A 17,914-nucleotide genomic window follows, 5' to 3' on the forward strand; every position below is an offset into this window, starting at 1 on the left:
CAGGAAATCAGGGATGCCTTTGCTTAAACTAAATACCAGTCATGCTAAATTATTTGAGTATAGGATAACAGCAATATTTGTATTTCTTTGGCATGTGCTGTTATTATACATCCTTCTCTTCTTTGTCCTGGGATGTGGATCTGCTTCTGGGATCAACATTCCTTCATCATTCTGGTTGAGTCTTCCCAGCGATTCAGGAAGAAAATCCTTGTTAAGAGAAAGTACTCTATGTGGGAAGACCTTGGATATATTTTCTGTGTTTAGATTTCAAAAAACTGAATACTCTTACAAAGGTATTAAAGAACAAAAATACTACTATTTTAGTTCTTAAAGATCTCACATGCTACTGAAATGCTATTTTGTTTCATTTCATATTTAAAACCTATGTTGACATCAGTATGGAAAGTGAGAGGAAAGTAAATGACCACTTTTCTGGACATCAAAATACCTTTCATGCTCCTGCACGCTCACATCCCCCTTCTTCCAGGAAGAGAGTGCCCTTGGGGAGGCTCTGGGTTTACAATCCAAGCTGACCAGGCTGCCCACCTGCACCTGAACCAACTTCTTCATTGGATTCTTTGAAAAATCTGGAGCAGAAGCTGAAAGGCAAGAAAGGAGAGAAGGAGAAGTGGATCATTTACAAAACTTCTTGTCAATTTCAAAGGTCCACTTTTACAGTTTTAAAAGTTTTCTTTACATTCAGGGTGTCAGTGCTTGATTTACTTGGCTTATTGTGTGCCACACACAGGATAATTCATGTTATTATGTTTTCTAGCAAGTCTAAATCGTGAGACAATTACTTTATACAGAAATGTTTAGTTTATGGTGAAGATTCAAAGTAGCTCAATCATGTGTTTATTAAATGAAAGGAAAACATTTGGTATAGAACGTTTTTAAATGTTAGCTCCACGAAGACAGGAATAGGGTTGTCTCTCTTGCTAACCTTTAGGACATAGCACTTGGTACAGTGCCTAGCATTCAACAAAGCTCAGCAAAACTTTGAGAACAGAGGCTAAGCACTGAATTAATATTCTCATACATATGCATGTATCAAGTTCCACGATAAAATGTTTAAATTGTTAGGTTGAACTTCCAAACTGGGGAAAAATAATATTACGCACATATTATTTTAAATGCTATAATATTGCATGAAGTATAATAATGTGTAGAAAATATTACATTTGCTAATAATACATGGGATGTTAATCCTGAAACAACACTTGAACATTTAAGATACATAATATTGTATCATTGGAATGAAAGGGTATGTTAATAAAAAAAAAATCACTCTTCCTTTTGCTGCAAATGTGAAAAACATTAAAAACCTACTGCATTTCCCAAATAGCTAATGCTGTGTCTTATGGCAAATCCAAGTGAATACAATTTATTTATTTGATTAGTGGAAATCTTAGAGTGAATCATATTACGTAATTATACATGTGATTGTGGTAAAGAAAACATGGTATCCAGAGGTTGTTGGCCTTAAAAATTAAAAATCATAAAAGAGTGATTTTTGTTAAAACAAAAACTTGTTTATATTTGAATACAATCTTTTGTTTACGCACCTCGTATTTCTTCATACACAACAATCCCACACCATACATTGAGTAGGACTCCACCCATTTTAAAGATGGATAAACTATGGCTCATCAGCTTAATTTATTGCAATATAATTACAGTCTTTCAAGTTAAGACTTATATGCAAACTCCTCCCTCTTTTTGTCATAATATGCTACTTCTCTGTCATGGATAACAGCAGCCAGATTTTCAGTTGATCATCCCTCCAGGCATCATTCCTCCTGGTACAGATGATGCATTTCTAACTGCCAGGCACTAGAGATGAGAGAGCCCATTAAAGCAGGGTTTTTTCAATCACTCTTGACATATAACATTTTGGGGTGGATAATTATCTTTTGTGAGAAGCTATTTTGTGCACTGTAGGATATTTAGCAGCCTCTCTGTCCTTCACCCACAATATGCTAATACCACACACTGGTCCTCTACCTCTCCACACCAACCAAAAATATCTCCAGACATTTCTAAATTTCCCTCAGGGCAAAATTGTCCCTGGTTGAGAAACACTGACTTAAATCATGCAGGGCCTTATCACTTGCTGACCATATGGATTGGTTCAGAAACAAGTATTAACCCAAATCAGGCTATATGGGGCCAATGGCATGCAACACTTTGACTTCCCTTTGAGCAATTAAGACAGCCGTCTTTCTTCCACTGGAATGACTGTGGTAATACATTCATTTTGTTGGGAAACATCATATAGAACCTGATAATAGTGATGATATTTGAACACTGGACCAAATTATGCTGAAATCCAAATTCTCCATTTTAATAACATGGACTGATGAGCAAGCCCTCCTGCTCCTCTTCCCTTCCTCCTTTCCTTCCATTCATTTGTGCTATGCTACACTATGCCATGGTGTTTTGCTTGGATTTTCAATCATTTGTAATGTAAATATTCTTCTGGACAATTGCTTTAAACATGATAGAACATCTTCTTTTTCTCCTATACCTAAAGTACAAGAAGAAGATCATCTATAATTTCAAGCAGTGGAGCCTTGGACAATGAAAGCCTCAAGGTATCCAATGTGTCAAGCTTCTAACAGAGCCACTAAAGGCAAAGGCAACTCTTTTGAATCAAATACGATTGATTCAAATTTTGGTATTTGCTATTACGGACCAGCAACGGGGAACACCAAAATCACTTATTCTCCTAAAAGGCTTTGCTTAGTTGGTAATATTGGAGGTGGATAAGGATATCTTTTGCCAATATTTGATTCCTACTGTCGATTAACTTAACCCTTGGTCCTCAATTCTGGCCATAATTGCTGTTTTTCCTTAGAAACTGTTAAAAGGTATGCCTTGATTAGAAACTGAATGATCGTGTTGTAATACTGTAGATATTATTAGATGTAGGAACCTAATGTGAAAAGTAAATATTACTGCTTCTGGAAACAATGAAGGATTTAAGACAAAAAATTAAGAGAAGAGCAGAGAAAATCAGCCTTACCAACAACTTTGAGCTCAGCACTGGAATAAACAAGGCCATGTTTGTTTTCTGCTATGCATTGGAACATGCCAGAATCAGTCACACTTAGGTTTGATATTGTAAGGGCACCATTTTCTATCTGTGTTCTCTCCTAGATGATAATAAAAATATCTTTCATATAAACAAACATACCACTTTAGAATAAAAATGAACTGACTATCATTTCACTCACACAGAAACTTTCTGCATTTTTCTGAGAGTATTAGACAGGATGGCCTGAAATTTAACCTTTTCCTTATTTTAAATGTGAAAGACTAATTTACACAATAGCTACACATTAGAAATATGAATTAGCATCCTTCAATCCAAAAGTATATCATAAAATAGATAACAAAGCAGAGGTAAAATATGCAACCATTTCACTTTTTCCCCTACAGTTAAAGTTTCTTAAAAAGGTACCGTGACTTTAAAACATGTTTTATGAGGTTGATTTTTATCCCATCAGTTGGAAATGTTTTCACTATGTCTTTTCAAATCATGCAAGTTAAAAACATTATCAAATCTGTGGATTAGAAAGGTTTCTGGGAAACACATATATTTACCAGAGTTTCTAGGTAGTATGAAAGGTTAGGTATGGAAACTGAAAGAACACAATTGACTTAGTATACAAAAAAAGGGCAAAAATTACATGGCTTGAGAAGGAGAGTGATGGAGAAAATAAGTACTTACATAACAAGGTAACCAAGTAATAGATACATTCATTCCCCAGAGGCCACACCAAGTTGTTAAACAGGAAAAGGAAATTATATCCTAAATTTGATTAAAGTAAGGCCTTCTCTAATTTCAATACCAAAAAAACGGTAGATTATTTTACAGACTAAATTCACACCATGACTTCTTCCCAGTGAAATGCCATGCTGAAAAGCTCTCCTCACTGGCAGACTGGGTACTTGATTTGATATTTTTCCTCCTGTACCACTGCTTAGAAGTAAAGGAAAGTGTGCAAACTCAACAGTTTATTTTGGGACTAGGGACTAAAGAAAGCATTTGCTAAACACCAAGTGAGGAAAGGGTGGATTTACCAGGCCTCTAAACCCATTTTAGGTCCATGTTACCTTACCTCTAGCACCAGGGCTGCTCCATTTTTCAGCCATCGGTAGGAAGGCTTGGGCTTGCCGCTTGCCCTGCATTCCCAATAAAGACTGTCCTCCACGGCTATTTCCACATCCTTTATGAGTTGAACCCAATGGGGCTTTGCTTCAATGAAAGAAAAGGAAAAAGAAAAGAAATTTAAACCACCCAGCAAATAAAATGTATTTATTATTTTATTATCTTACCTGGATTAATAGAAATGGACATGATAATGAGTAACAGATTGAAGTGAGAACAGAGGCTAGAATTATATTTTATTCACTAAGTATCTACTCATTGGCTGTATGAAACGTTTCTACATTTGAGGATGGAAGTTGCAATCTGTTATTTCCTAAGGCAAATTAATTATGCTCTCTCTATTTTCAAAATTCTGAGCACTGTACTATATTATTTAGATATCTATTAGTAGACAGTAATACAGGTACACAAAACTGATTTTGTTTTCCAAGTGTATTTTTGAATCATGAGATCACAACTGATGATGACTTAATAAGTGAATGACAGCATATATTGTTCTTAATTATGAACTAAAAATTAACATCCATAGGAGAGAAACTGCTACAGCCGAGGAAAAAATATTTTCCACAAGTTAGAAATAACTTAATTAAATACAAACCAGTGAGCATCTTAAGAACCTCTGAGTGAATTAAGATCAAAGCAGGAAAAGATGGATAAGTTGGTTCAACTTGAATCATGTGATTTTTTGCCAGAAAAAGAAGTAACTGATGCAACTTTAAATTATGTATGCAAATAAGTTCAATCAAATGGATTTATCATTTTCAACTTATGCTTTAGAGGGTATTTGGAAAATTCATTTTACAGATGAAAGCATCGTACCACTTACAATGAAAGTCACTTACTATATACAGTATATCCAGCCAAGTCTCAGCTTGTGTTTTAAATCCAAAACTGGGAGGTGAGATGCCTTACTGGTTTCACATTGCATTATGCATGTGATGTGTACTGTGGGATTCACATTTGCATCCTCCATATGGAGAAACAGTTTATCTATTTCTATTTAACTGCAACCATGGGAAGATTTGTCTTTCCATTTCTAGCTCATAAAATTACTTTTTTATAAATGAAACTGAAAAGAAACTATGGTTATTTAGCTTTTACAGATAATGTATTCATCTAAGTTTTCTCTTTTATGTGTGTGTGCGTGTGTGTGTGTGTGTGTGTGTATATATATATATATATATATATATATAACTTGCTCAGTATGAAGTGTAGTTCAGTACCAAATCACTTCTCTCTATATTAAAACACATTTTCTTCTTCTTTCAGGAATGATCAGCCTGAGATGGAACATGACTGTGAATAGACTCACACATCAGCCTCTTATAGAGACCCGAGTTTCTAAAAAAAAAAAAAAAATCCCACAAGCTTCCCATAGTAATACTCTTCTTCTCCAAATGGGAGGATAATTCGCTGGACTAAAAAATCCTGAAATCATAACTGCCACATCAATTCTGATTTCTCCCTTTATTCCATCATATGAGATGCAAATATTCTATAGACTATTTTTTACATGAAATATTAGAGCAGATAACCAGAGAACTGCATGGCCTCTACTTAATATATTGATGTTAAATAGAAATTGTAAGGCAACTTTCATGAAATGCTTTATGCCATTAATTTCTGATTTATTTTTTAGGTATGTATCATATTACCTACACAATGGACTAAAGCAATAGTCTACCTCTTTTACTAAGTAGAGCAGACACTGTTGGTTTTCTATTGTGCATTCATTTCCTCTCTTCCTTATTCCTAAAATAACACCAATTTTTAATTCAGTTGTCCACTCTTCCATCACCTCACATTGTCTATAGAAACATGACATTATTCTCTGTTCCAAAGTGAAGCACTTAATTGTCTAATCTAATTTCTCCTTGCCACTGATTGGTTTAGGAATGAACCATGTAGCCAGTGAGGTTTGAGGAGAGGACTTCTAGATGTTTTGGAGAAAGGAAGGATGAGTAACAACTGATGTGCTAGTCACTGCTGGCAGCCATTTTGTGATCATAATGGAAACTAACATGCAGAAAAGGAAAAAAAAAATAGACAAGGGCAGAAAAAGTAATCACAAAGAAACTGGGTCGTGGCCTGATGATAAGGTAATTAAATGACAATTTAGCTTTGGATTTCCTCATCATATGAAGCATACAATTGTTTATTATGTATACAGGGTTTCTGTTATATAGAGCTAAAAATATTTCTACTAAAACATTAATACAGTTGGAATATCCGGTGTGTTCCCATAATGGTCACTTCTTATCCTAGATCAAGTAGTGGTTGCGCAGAAAGAAGGAACTAAGCTAGAGTATGAGAAAAGGTTACTTGCTTTGTTGGGGCCTTAGAGCTGGACAGCCACATGGGTTAAGTGCTTGCTCCCTCACCCCCTATTTCCATAGAATCCTAGGAACCCAAAGACCTTGAAACCTGGGTAAGTTCTGTGCTATATACATTCTAAACTAATCAAGCAACAAGATGGGAGAGTTACAAAACAGAATGACTCATGCTACCAAACAATGCCTCCATTTTGTTTCTGACAGATCCTAAAATCTTACAATATAATAACAAGTGTTAATCGTGCCAGAAGTAATGCACTGGTAGACTTCATATTTTTCAAGGCGGGGTGTCATAAGACCTACAATTTTAGTATTTGCCTTTGCAAACTTTTCTTCCTTGCAACATGCACATATGCTATCCAAGGACGTGTTGCAAGATGTTTCAATTTCCAAATTCTAAAATAAATAGAATATAATGCAATTTACCTTTGACAAGAGTGGTCAATTCCCACTAGTTTTGCGATGTTTCTAATGATTAAAGTGCAAATATATATTCACTGAGCTGAATATATACGTCTCCATATATTTTATAAATCCGTTTTGAAAAATTATATATTTATTCTAAGTCATGTTTTCATCAAAAACCTAGTTTTCTTAAAATAAGAGGTTTGAAAAAAATTTCAAAAAAAGGCAATCTAATTTTCCTACAAATAGACTCTAAATAAAGGTGACATTATTATTCCTTCCTTACCCAAATTGAGCAGTACATCAAATAAAAGTGATTGCAAATTAAAGGCAGCAAACAGAGTACAGATACATTATTGGAAGGGATAGAATAACACTGAAGAACTCAACAAGAGCCAGAGTTCACGTGGTTTGTTTAATACAGTAATTGCAACTTTTCCCAAAAGGCAGTTTTTTTTTTTTCTCTTTAGTAGAGGTAACAAAGAAAGATACAAAACCTGTTTTCTAGAGGAGAAGACAGACAGAAAAGAGATCTCTCTCTAATGTGTTTAAGTGTGTGAGAGGTTATTCTTAGGAAAAAAATATGAAATATTTTATCTTTGCATGAATCATTTTAAAATGCAAAATGAATATATTATGTCGCCAACTTCATTACAAAAATTTATTTCTTTTTAATTCCCCCTATGATCAATGTTTATCATCACTTAACAAAATGTTTAACCAACAAGTTGAACATTGGGATTCTGCTATAATCTCTCACCCCTAAATAACAACCATATTTTATAGATGAGAAAGTAAAAGCTAAAACTCCAATTTGCCCAAAGCAGATGCTCACCATAGTAAGTGAGACGCCCTCTGGCAACATTTTTTCCTCGTGAATTCTCAGCAATGCATTCATAGGAACCTGCATCTTCCTGTTGGAAGTTGGGGATTTCAAGCACACCACTGAACTTCCTTAATTTAATTTTGCTGGAAAATGGCAGCCCATCACTTCTTCTCCAATTAATCTGAGGTATGGGACTAAGAAGAAAATCGTCAAGTTGTCTGCTATTGTCTGGAAGCCTTTTCAACTTGAGAAAATAAAGCTTTTAAGATTGAACAAGAAGGCACAGGATTTTAAATGCAGAAAACCACTTTCAATGGTCAATTATATAAACCTGATAAAAAAGATTTAACTTAACTCTTTAAGTTGATATTTTAATAAAATAAACTGCATTTTTCTTGACATGATTTCGAGAAAAAAGCCTAATACAGACCCACCATATTAGATTACAGCAAATGAACAAGAAAAAAAAAAACCCACCAATTTATTTTATGAAATTCGGCAGGCAGAGTAATTTTCTTCAAATCGACTTTGAATATTAAAGTTTCAAACTCAATTTTATATGTGCATTTCCCCTGCATTTTGTTTTTCCTTTGCCTCAAAATGAAAGTAAATTTTAGAAAATAAAAAAGAAGAGTCTCTCAAAAACCATCCTGATTTCTTATAGCAACCTAATATTTCAGCACATAGGAGTAAATGTTATAAAACTTACTTTCCAAGGGCAAAACATTCCAATTTCACAGTCGAACCTTTAGCTGCTGGAAGAGTTTCTGGAAACTGAACTTCTATTTTAGGTTCATATTCACCCATCACACCTATAAATCCACAATATAAAGTTAATCGTTTCAATATTTCCTTTAGAATTGCCTCGTTTTTCTTAAATAAAACTTTCTTTTGCTCCCATTTTGAACCAGCTCTTCTAGTGATTTCAATTAAATAAAATTTAGTCTATGCAGCTCAGATTCCCTTTTAACAGCCATCAAGTTGTTGATGAAACAGATTTTTTCTTTAATAATTTTTTTAGTGGTGCTTTTTAGCCTCTAACAAAACATCCAGAGCTTTAAAAAACCTGAACTAACTTGGGTCAAACATGCAATATTAATAAACATTTAAGAACTTTGGATTTGCTGATTCATAGGTTACCACGTACAGAGCAGTTCCAAGAAAACCACTGAGCCTTTACATTACACAAAATGGGAGGCTTTGAAATTGTGTATTCAATTTTGACATTGCTAGTCAAACTGAAATATATAATATATTATTGCTTCCTGAAATTTCCCTAAAGAACAAAAATTATGGCAGGGAATTTACTTAATGATACCCTAGTAGCAGAGATACCAATCTTAAACTTATTAAATGGCTCCCTGGAGTTAAGAAACAATGACTTAATAAATGGGAAAGGTCAAATTCAATTATAACTGACTGGAAAAAAGTGCTTCAATGCTTTGTGGTCATAGCATTATGCTGTATCAGATATGGTTTTGTGTAAATGGGTCAACTACCCAGGCTTACGGATCTGCTTCCTCGGCAGCTCATAGACTCCCCTTAAACAGCCATCAAGGTGTTGATGAAACAGATATTTTTCTTTAATGGTTTCTTTAGTGATGATTTTTAGCCTATAACAAAATATCCAGAGCTTTAAAAACCTCAAGCTGGCAAAAGTCAGGACAGGTGACTTCATGGGAGTGCAACCCGAGCCCCGGGCTCAGAAGGGTCTCATGCTTGGTATAAGTCTTTGCCATTGCTGTCTTAAAATTCTTAATGATTTTTGAAAAAGGGGCCACTCATTTTTACTTTGCACTGGTCCCTGCAAATTATGAAGCTTGCCCGGGGTAAGAATTATGCATAAGGACTATGAGTTATCAAATCATTTTTGTCATTGTACTCATAAAATAGTCTGTGCCAAAAAACATGAAGTGACAATTCTTCTAGATGTACTTTTTACATTTTCCCAATTGCTTTTGTTTGCAGCCTCAGCACCATTTACGCTCAGAAGTGCACTTGGAGAAGTTTCATTACCATCAGAACGTAGCACCAAAGGAGTTGGAGAGCCCAGCACTCGGGCATTTGTCACCATACTTGTCACCACACATGTGTAATTTCCCACATCAGACGGCTCCACCTTAGATATGTAGAGGTGCCCTGTCTCCTGGGAGACAAATCTCCGACTATCTTCTTCAACAAACGATGGGTATTCATTGAAGATCCAAGCATATGACAGTTCTAATAAAATTGTTGAAGAGAGAAAGAAATTCCATCATTAAGGACAGTTTTCCATTGTGTCCTTAATGTATCTATACAAACATCAACTTTACTTCCAAGTAGTGCTGAGTGTTTTTGTTGCAGGCCATGAAGAGAAGCAGTTAAGTGAAATAACTCTCAATTTATTCTTTATTATTATAGAGGACACCGTTGATTAGCATCCTGGTGGGAGCAATATTATTACTGTCATAATATCTCTGCTTCAGACACCTTCTAACAAGCTTCTCTGGTCTTGCTCAGTTTTAGTTCATATCTCCATCCTGCCTCTACCATGATATTTCAAAATTAACAATCTAATCATGTCAATTCCTGACATCAAACTTGGCGAAGTTCTTTAACCTCTCAGGCATCATGCAAAATTGCTTAACCTGAATATGAGGCCCTTCATGGTTAAGGTCCTGCTCAAAACCTTAGCCTCGGAGAAGCCCCATGCTCTCTTTTGTCCCTGAGTCTTTTGCACGTGCTGCTTCTGGGGCCTACAACTCCTGTTGTCTCTGTCCTGTCTTTGGCTTTCTCTACTTTCAACACCAACCACATTCTTTGAGATAACCTTCAAATGGTTTTCAAAGCTTGGTTCCAACATCAGGAATCACCTCCTCAAGTGAACTCTCCTTTAATCCTCCTTCTCTGGGTTGATGCTCCTATACAGAGTAATTCTAAGCTTATTTCAACTAAAACGCTTATCAGTATGTAACATTCTGCTTACTTGTCTGTCCTCCTATCACTTGTTAAACAAGCGATGTTAGTTTTTATTTCACCTGCCCTTCCCCCTCCTCCAAATTAGCAAAATGAAACACTCAAAGGCACTTAGTAGGGCCTCAATAAAGATTCATGGAGTTAGTTAAGGATACAATTATGCTACTGACTAACATCTATGTAAAGTACAGTATGAGAGTTTTCTTGAACTTTATGGCCAAGGTGAATCAGTTTTCTGCAAAGGAACCATTGTTCTTCTCTTTTATGATAATGAGGGCTAGATAATAATATGCCACTTTGTTCTGGAGGCCCAGGTTGTTCAGTGCCAAGTTGAGATTTAAGCACGGTTACTGTGGTTGGCTTATTGGCTTCCTGCTTTCCTGAGCCCTATTTTCTCTTAGTTGCATTAACTCTACTGTATTGATTCATTACTGTAGTGCTTTCCCAATAGAGTTTAAAAAAAAAAAAACTTTTGGAAAACATGGAATCAAAATAAATTTAATGAATAACAAGTTTAAATATATTTAAGAGATAATTCCTATGGTGAAGGTCTTTCTTTTTGGTAAAGGGAACAGTAAATCAATATGCAAATAACAATGAGATAAGGAGAAGGGTTAGATGAGAGCTCCCATGAGTTTTAGAGGAAGGACAGGTGCCATTCTTTCATGGCTGAAGAACAGGCCTTAAAGGACAGGAGAACACCCCAACAAGCAGGGATAAAAGCACTCCAAGTAGAGTGAAGAACATGAGAAAAGGCCAGCAGAGAAGAGAACATGCTAAGGACCTAGAAGAAATAAAACATGATGACTAATTCCCATTCACGATGCAAATGCAAATGCTTGATGTTTCCAAAAATTAGCAAGCCAATTGCAAATTATACAGACATCCAGAAACATTGGTTTTAACCTCAAACTGATCTTTAAATCATGCTGTCATATTGGTATAATGTTTCATGAAATTTCAGTCAGTCATGTGATAAGTTGTGAGCTCTAAAGTCACTTATCGGGTTGTATGAAACAAATGCATCTCAAACATTATGGTTATTCTCAGGCCTATCCTGATGATGCTTTTCTCTTGCAATAGTATTGAATAAACCATAGAGGAAAATAATACTAGCAAGGTAGGTTGAGTTTGTTCTGCAGTTGTTAAAACTGGCAGCTGTTGTAGCAAGAGCCCTTCAGGGTCTTCCTGCTGCTCCGGCAACCTCACTTTGCAGTAAAGGAGGGAAAGCAATCTTTCTCTGCTTTCCAAAGTGTTCCACACATGAAACTAACAAGGTTGTCCTTCTCCCTTTTACCCAGCCAGATATCTACTGTTCTCCAATATAGCAGGCCTTAGCAGGGCATTAGGAATAAAAAGTCAATCCTATTAACCCAGTTTATACCAAAAAGAATGGTTGAGAAAAAGAACTCTGACTCAGAGTCAGAAAACCTAAAATCTGGTGAATTCATGCAAGATAATATTATACAGTAATAAGAATATATGAACAATAACTCCATGCAACACTTGGAATAAATATCACAAATATAATTCTGATTGAAAATGTTCAACTCAAAATGTTTGCATAACTCCCTTTATAATGTTTATTTTAATCCAAAGGTTAACATTATTGATACTTAAAACATTATTATGTAGTTATAGAGATACTGTGGTGGCTTTGCCTATATGACACAGGAAATGACTGACTGGTAGAAGAAGGAAGGAAGCCAAAATTAAAATCATTTTAAGGCTGCTCCCAAAATGAACATGAAGTGGATATGTACAAATCAAGGTGCAGACTGGTGCAGACATGGAGGTTCCCCCTTAGGTTTCACTTCAAGAGAACCTAAAGCACAGAACACAGTTGACTGATGGCCTCTACCTGCTACCCCAGGAGCACTGTGGCCACACACCTCCCTGCGCTGCTCCTAGTACTGAACTGAATGGAGGTGCTAATGCTGGCTCGTTCCTGCCCCATGAAGGATTTCTCTAACGGGCAATTTTGGCTCGGCAACTCCCCATTTTTACAGCTACAGCATCCTCAGAACTGTGCTGCAGTCTGACATTCTTCCTAAGCAAGTTTTCCTCCCCACTCTTTGTTCACCAACATGGGACCTGACTCGCAGTCTGAGGCTCTCTGCCCATTTCTGCTCCTTCACCTTTTTTCCAGTTTTTTTTTTTTAATAAAAAAACTTCTCCAGTTTCTTTTTATAAGTCTGATCCTTTAGTCCCATCTTGGTGTATGTGTCTCAGGGAATCTCAACATGGGGTTTCTGAAATTGAGTAACAGACTCTCCTCTGTATTTAAAATTTCTCCTCCCTGTTGAATTCTGAAAGAATGCCCATTTTCATTGACTTCCTTTCCTAGGAGTAACTGTCCCTCTCCCCAGTTTCCACTGAGACAATCCCCTCATGTCACTCCCATTCTTTAAATACGCAAACTGACTCCTGATTGATTCTTGGTACCTGCCCTGCAGACAAGTGAAGGCAAGACAGCAACCCAGAGAAAAACAGTGTGAGGCTACTCTGAGATTCCCACTGAAGGAAGAAGAAAAAATTCACCATTTACAGATTTCACCACCAAAGAAGAAAATATTTCACCATCTCCATGGGCCAAATTGCTGTCCAGCCCTAAACCTTCATATAAAATTTGAAAACAAATGGAAAGAAGCTTCTGCTTTGTAGAAGTTAGGATTTCTGCATCCTTCATTTAGGAATTAGTGTAATCAGGCAAATTAGGAGGTCTATCTCAGAGTGGTATACTAATATCCCTTGAATTACACTGGACTTACATTCTTGAACAACCATTCAATGCAAAATTTCAGTGATCCATATAAAACTGTCCAGAAAATACACATCCTATATACTTCATAGTATTGAAAGCCATTTTAAAAAATGGTTTTATAAACACTCCCTTTCTCTTTGTATCTCAGCAGCACAGTAAGCATAATTTTATATTAAAAGCACAATAATATGGTCTACCTATTGAAATGATATGTAACTGAATAATCCAATGATCTTCCTCTACCGATTCTCCCAAACACAACCCCAGAAAATCAAGAGAGTAAAGATCCTTGACGAACAACAAAGAAAAACTAACTCTAAGGTTTTCAGCTTGGATAAATGGAAGAAACAGGAAAAGTAGGAGGAGCCACTCTGGGGCTGGAAAAAGGTATAGTAAAAATAGTTTTTGAGACTCAGACAGAGGATCTAGACACAAATGTTCAGTGAGTGGCTGGGAGATTCAAATGTAAGCTTAAGAGAGAGTCTGGGCCTAATATTGGTGGGGTAGGCAGAATAAATGTCCCCAGAAAAAGTCGACATTCTAATGCCTGAAACCTGAAAATATGTTACTTGACATGACAAGGGGTAATCCACAGACACGATTAAGTTAAAGATCATTTGAGGGGAACAATCTTGGGTTCCAGATGGGCCTAATGTAAACCCAAGAGTCCTTATAAGAGAGAGGCAGGAGGGTCACAGTAAGGGAAAAGGAAACGTGACCACAGAACCAGGTATGGTAGTCAGAGAATGACATTTCAAGATGCTGTGCTCTTGGTTTGAAGATGGAGAAAGAGACCATGACCTAAGGAGTGCAGGTGGCCACTGGAAGCCAGAAAGGCAGAAAAACAGATTGCCTCCTTGAAACTCCATAAGCAACATAGGCCTGCCAATTTCTTGATTTTTAGCCAAGTGAAACTGATTTTGGACTTTGGACCTCCAGAACTGTAAGAGAATAAATTTGTGTTGTAGTAATTTGTTTCAAGAGCAATAGGGAAGTAATGTACATGGCAAAGGTGATTAAGTTAGCCATCTCGCTGTGAATTCTGGTAGGCCCACTGTAATCACCAGGGTCCTTAGAAGGGAAAGAGAGGGGCAGGAGAGTCAAAGAAGGAGGTATGACTACACCAGCAGAGGTCTAAGCCATACAATCACTTGCTGGTGGCCAAGAGCAAAGGAACACGGGCAGCCTCTAGAAACTGCAAAAGGGAAGGAAATGGATTCTCCCCTGGAGCCCCAAGGAACAAAGCCCTGCTGACACCTTGATGTGAGCCCATTGAGACTTGCGTTGGACTTCTAATCCACAGAACTGTAAGGGAACAAATGTGTGTTGTTTAAAGCAGGGGTGCCCAATCCCCCTGGTTCATGGACCAGTACTGGTCTGTGGCCTGTTAGGAACCAGGCCACACAGCAGGAGGTGAGCAGTGAGCAAGCAAGCAAAGCTTCATCTGTATTTACAGCTGCTCCCCATTGCTCACGTTACCTCCTGAGCTCTGCCTCCTGTCAGATCAGCAGCAGCATTAGATTCTCATAGGAGCACAAACCCTACTGTGAACCGAACATGTGAGGGATCTAGGTTGTGTGCTCCTTATGAAAATCTAATGCCTGCTGATCTGTCACTGTCTCCCATCACCCCTAGATGGGGCCATCCAGTTGCAGGAAAACAAGCTCAGGGCTCCCAGTGATTCTACATTACAGTGAGTTGTATAATTATTATATATTACAATGTAATAATAACAGAAATAAAGTACACCATAGATAAATGTAATGTGCTTGAATAATCCCCAAACTCTCCCTGACACCCACCCCAGTCCATGGAAAAAAATTCATCCACAAAACAGATCCCAGGTGCCAAAAAGTTTGGGGACTGCTGACTTAAAGCCACTAAGTTTGTAGTAATTTGTTATATTGGCAATAGGAAATTCACACAAATAATGATGATAGCTAACAATGATCAAGTGTTTGTTAAATGCCAGGTATAGTGCTAAGTGCTTTGGCTAGAATTTTCAAAAAAACAAACAAACAAAAAAAACAGATGAACAGAGACAAAAAAAAAAAAAATTAAAGAAAGGCTGTAATTGGAAAGCCTCAAGAAGAATCAGATTTTATTTAATATGATTATAAGATCAATATAATGTTGAGGTATTCCAAAAGAGATATCAAACTACAACCCCCAAACAAATAGTGATTGATTACTTTTTTCAAAGATTCACACCCTTAAAGACATAGAAAAAAATCAAATTTGCATTGAATAGAGTTGTACACTGTCATGAGAGGTATGGAGAAATTTGTAGCACCTATCTTTGTTTATAGACTCTTTGAGATAAAATGAAACATAACTTTTATGTCTTAGAGAGAAGAGCTGCACTAACTTTTCATTTATTGCCTCTATGACTATGTTTATATATATATGTACATATATATCATTCTGACTGAAAATATTTGAGAATAATGTGATTTATGCATTATGAATATAGTAAAAAAGTCTACGGTAATACTATCATATCAGAATTTACTTATCATAAAAATCTGCATTTGCAATAAATGTTAATTGTATCACAGCAAAATCTGTATCAAATCAGCATTCTTTGGAGATTTCTCAAAATCATTTTATGTACTACGATAAATAAAAAGCTGTAATAAAAATGATAATTTGATATACTCAAACAAGCTAGTCTTTACAAAACCTTTCACAACCTCCTGTGTAAATCACAAGCACATTATGCCAAACGATTTGGCCAGTGGGCTTTCTATTAACAATGCTATGTGAATACTAGGAATATGAATTTTTTTAATTCAAAAGTCAAAAAGTTTTGCCAATCAAAGCTATAAATTTAAAAAATGAGGTCCTGAAACTGCTTTCTAAAAAGTAATATGTGATGAATGGCATTCTGCCTCTAGCTATATTCCTTCCCTGGTCACTTAAGTATAAGACCAGTCAATTTAACATGAAATATGTCACTCTGGTGTTTATCTGGAGATACACTAATACATATAATACTGACATTCAAGTTTTTATCTGTAGTTCCATTGTAAAATTATATTATGAAGGAGATTTAATCCTTCTATGGCCACTTTCCAGAAGAAATTCTGTCAAACAAAATTGCAGTTAGGCAAAATTTAAAAGTAACTTGGGCCATTTTCTGTGATGCCAACTGGGAAGTCTGACCTACTTTAAAACAAAGCATATTTAAAAGTGTGTGAAAGCTTGCTTGATGTCATTCAAGATTTTTATCACCGATTCATACAATCAGGAAGAGAATTTTGCTCTGATGCTTACAAATCACACCACTTTGGTGGAAAGTCTGGGATGCAGTATGTACTCAATGATCTAAAACAATGTAGAAAACTAAGGATAATTTAAGGTTCAAATAACACATAGTCAATGGTTAGGATTGAAGAGTCCGCACTGTAAACCGAAAGACATCTATCAGCATGTTTAACATTTCGTTGCATTATCTTTTAAAAGCTGTATTGTAAGTTGTTGCTTTGTGGATGACACTATTATATATTGTATGTTTCTTTGTTTTGACTATAAATGTCTACTAATCCATTCTGATTTAGGATACTACCAAGTCTGACTTGCGAGGGTCCTAAGATAAGGAGAACAATGACCAAGGAGGAAAAACATTAAAAATGCTATTTCCTTTCTCACCTCATATTTTAGGGCTGGTTCTAGGCCACAGGTTAGTGAACTAAGACTTGCCTGCTTTGTTAACTAAATATATTGGAACACAATCACACTCATTCAATTACTATTGTCTGTGGCTGCTTTTATGCTAATAAAGAGTTAAGCAGATGTAAAAGAGACTGCATGGTTCGTAAAGCTTAAAATGTTTATCTGGTCTTTTAAGAAAAGGTTTGTTGAACCTTGTCCTAGGCCAGTGATATCTAGAGATCAAGTTATGAGCTTAACATTCCCTTAACTGTCTTATTTTATTTTTTCCCTTCTTGCTTTTGTAGGGCTACCATGGTGTCCTAACTCCTACACGAAGCTTCACAAAGCTCATGCTAGGCCCCTAAGACTTTGGTACTCACTATTTCCTTTTTCTCTCTCTTGTTTTAGTCTCTGCTTTTAGTTGAGCATATATGAGCTATTTCTACTAGGTAACAGAGATAACACTTATCCAAGAGACAACAGTTTCCTGAGATACTATTCCACTATATTCAGTTCTACCATTTTCTTTCAGGAACTGACACCAGTGGGTACTAGCATCTTTCACCACATTGTGACTCTACAATATATTGTCACCCCTTATCTTCACTTTTGTTTTTCTTTGAGACAGAGTCTTGGTCTGTTGCCCAGGCTGGAGTGCAGTGGCATGATCTCAGCTCACTACAGCCTCTGCCTCGTGGGTTCAAGTGATTCTCCTGCCTCAGCCTCCCAAGTAGCTGGCATTACAGGTGTCCGCCACCATGTCTGGCTAATTTTTGTATTTTTAGTAGAGACGGGGTTTCGCC

The 17,914-nt window shown here is 36.3% G+C and overlaps 1 protein-coding gene across 4 annotated transcripts in view; it reads right to left on the reverse strand.

The window, feature by feature from the left end:
* Positions 1-17,914, reverse strand: part of CNTN3 (contactin 3) — a 352,092-nt gene that overhangs the window by 98,874 nt on the left and 235,304 nt on the right. For all 4 annotated transcript variants that reach the window (NM_020872.3, NM_001393376.1, XM_011533768.3 and 1 more), the window contains 6 exons: positions 9,755-9,958; positions 8,448-8,550; positions 7,748-7,932; positions 4,125-4,261; positions 3,026-3,155; positions 449-599 (listed from right to left, as the gene is read on the reverse strand). In NM_020872.3, coding sequence (NP_065923.1) covers positions 449-599; positions 3,026-3,155; positions 4,125-4,261; positions 7,748-7,932; positions 8,448-8,550; positions 9,755-9,958 — 910 coding nt within the window. The remainder of the gene's footprint in view (positions 1-448; positions 600-3,025; positions 3,156-4,124; positions 4,262-7,747; positions 7,933-8,447; positions 8,551-9,754; positions 9,959-17,914) is intronic.

The sequence above is a fragment of the Homo sapiens genome, chromosome 3, assembly GCF_000001405.40.
Source record: "Homo sapiens chromosome 3, GRCh38.p14 Primary Assembly".
Taxonomy (NCBI): domain Eukaryota; kingdom Metazoa; phylum Chordata; class Mammalia; order Primates; family Hominidae; genus Homo; species Homo sapiens.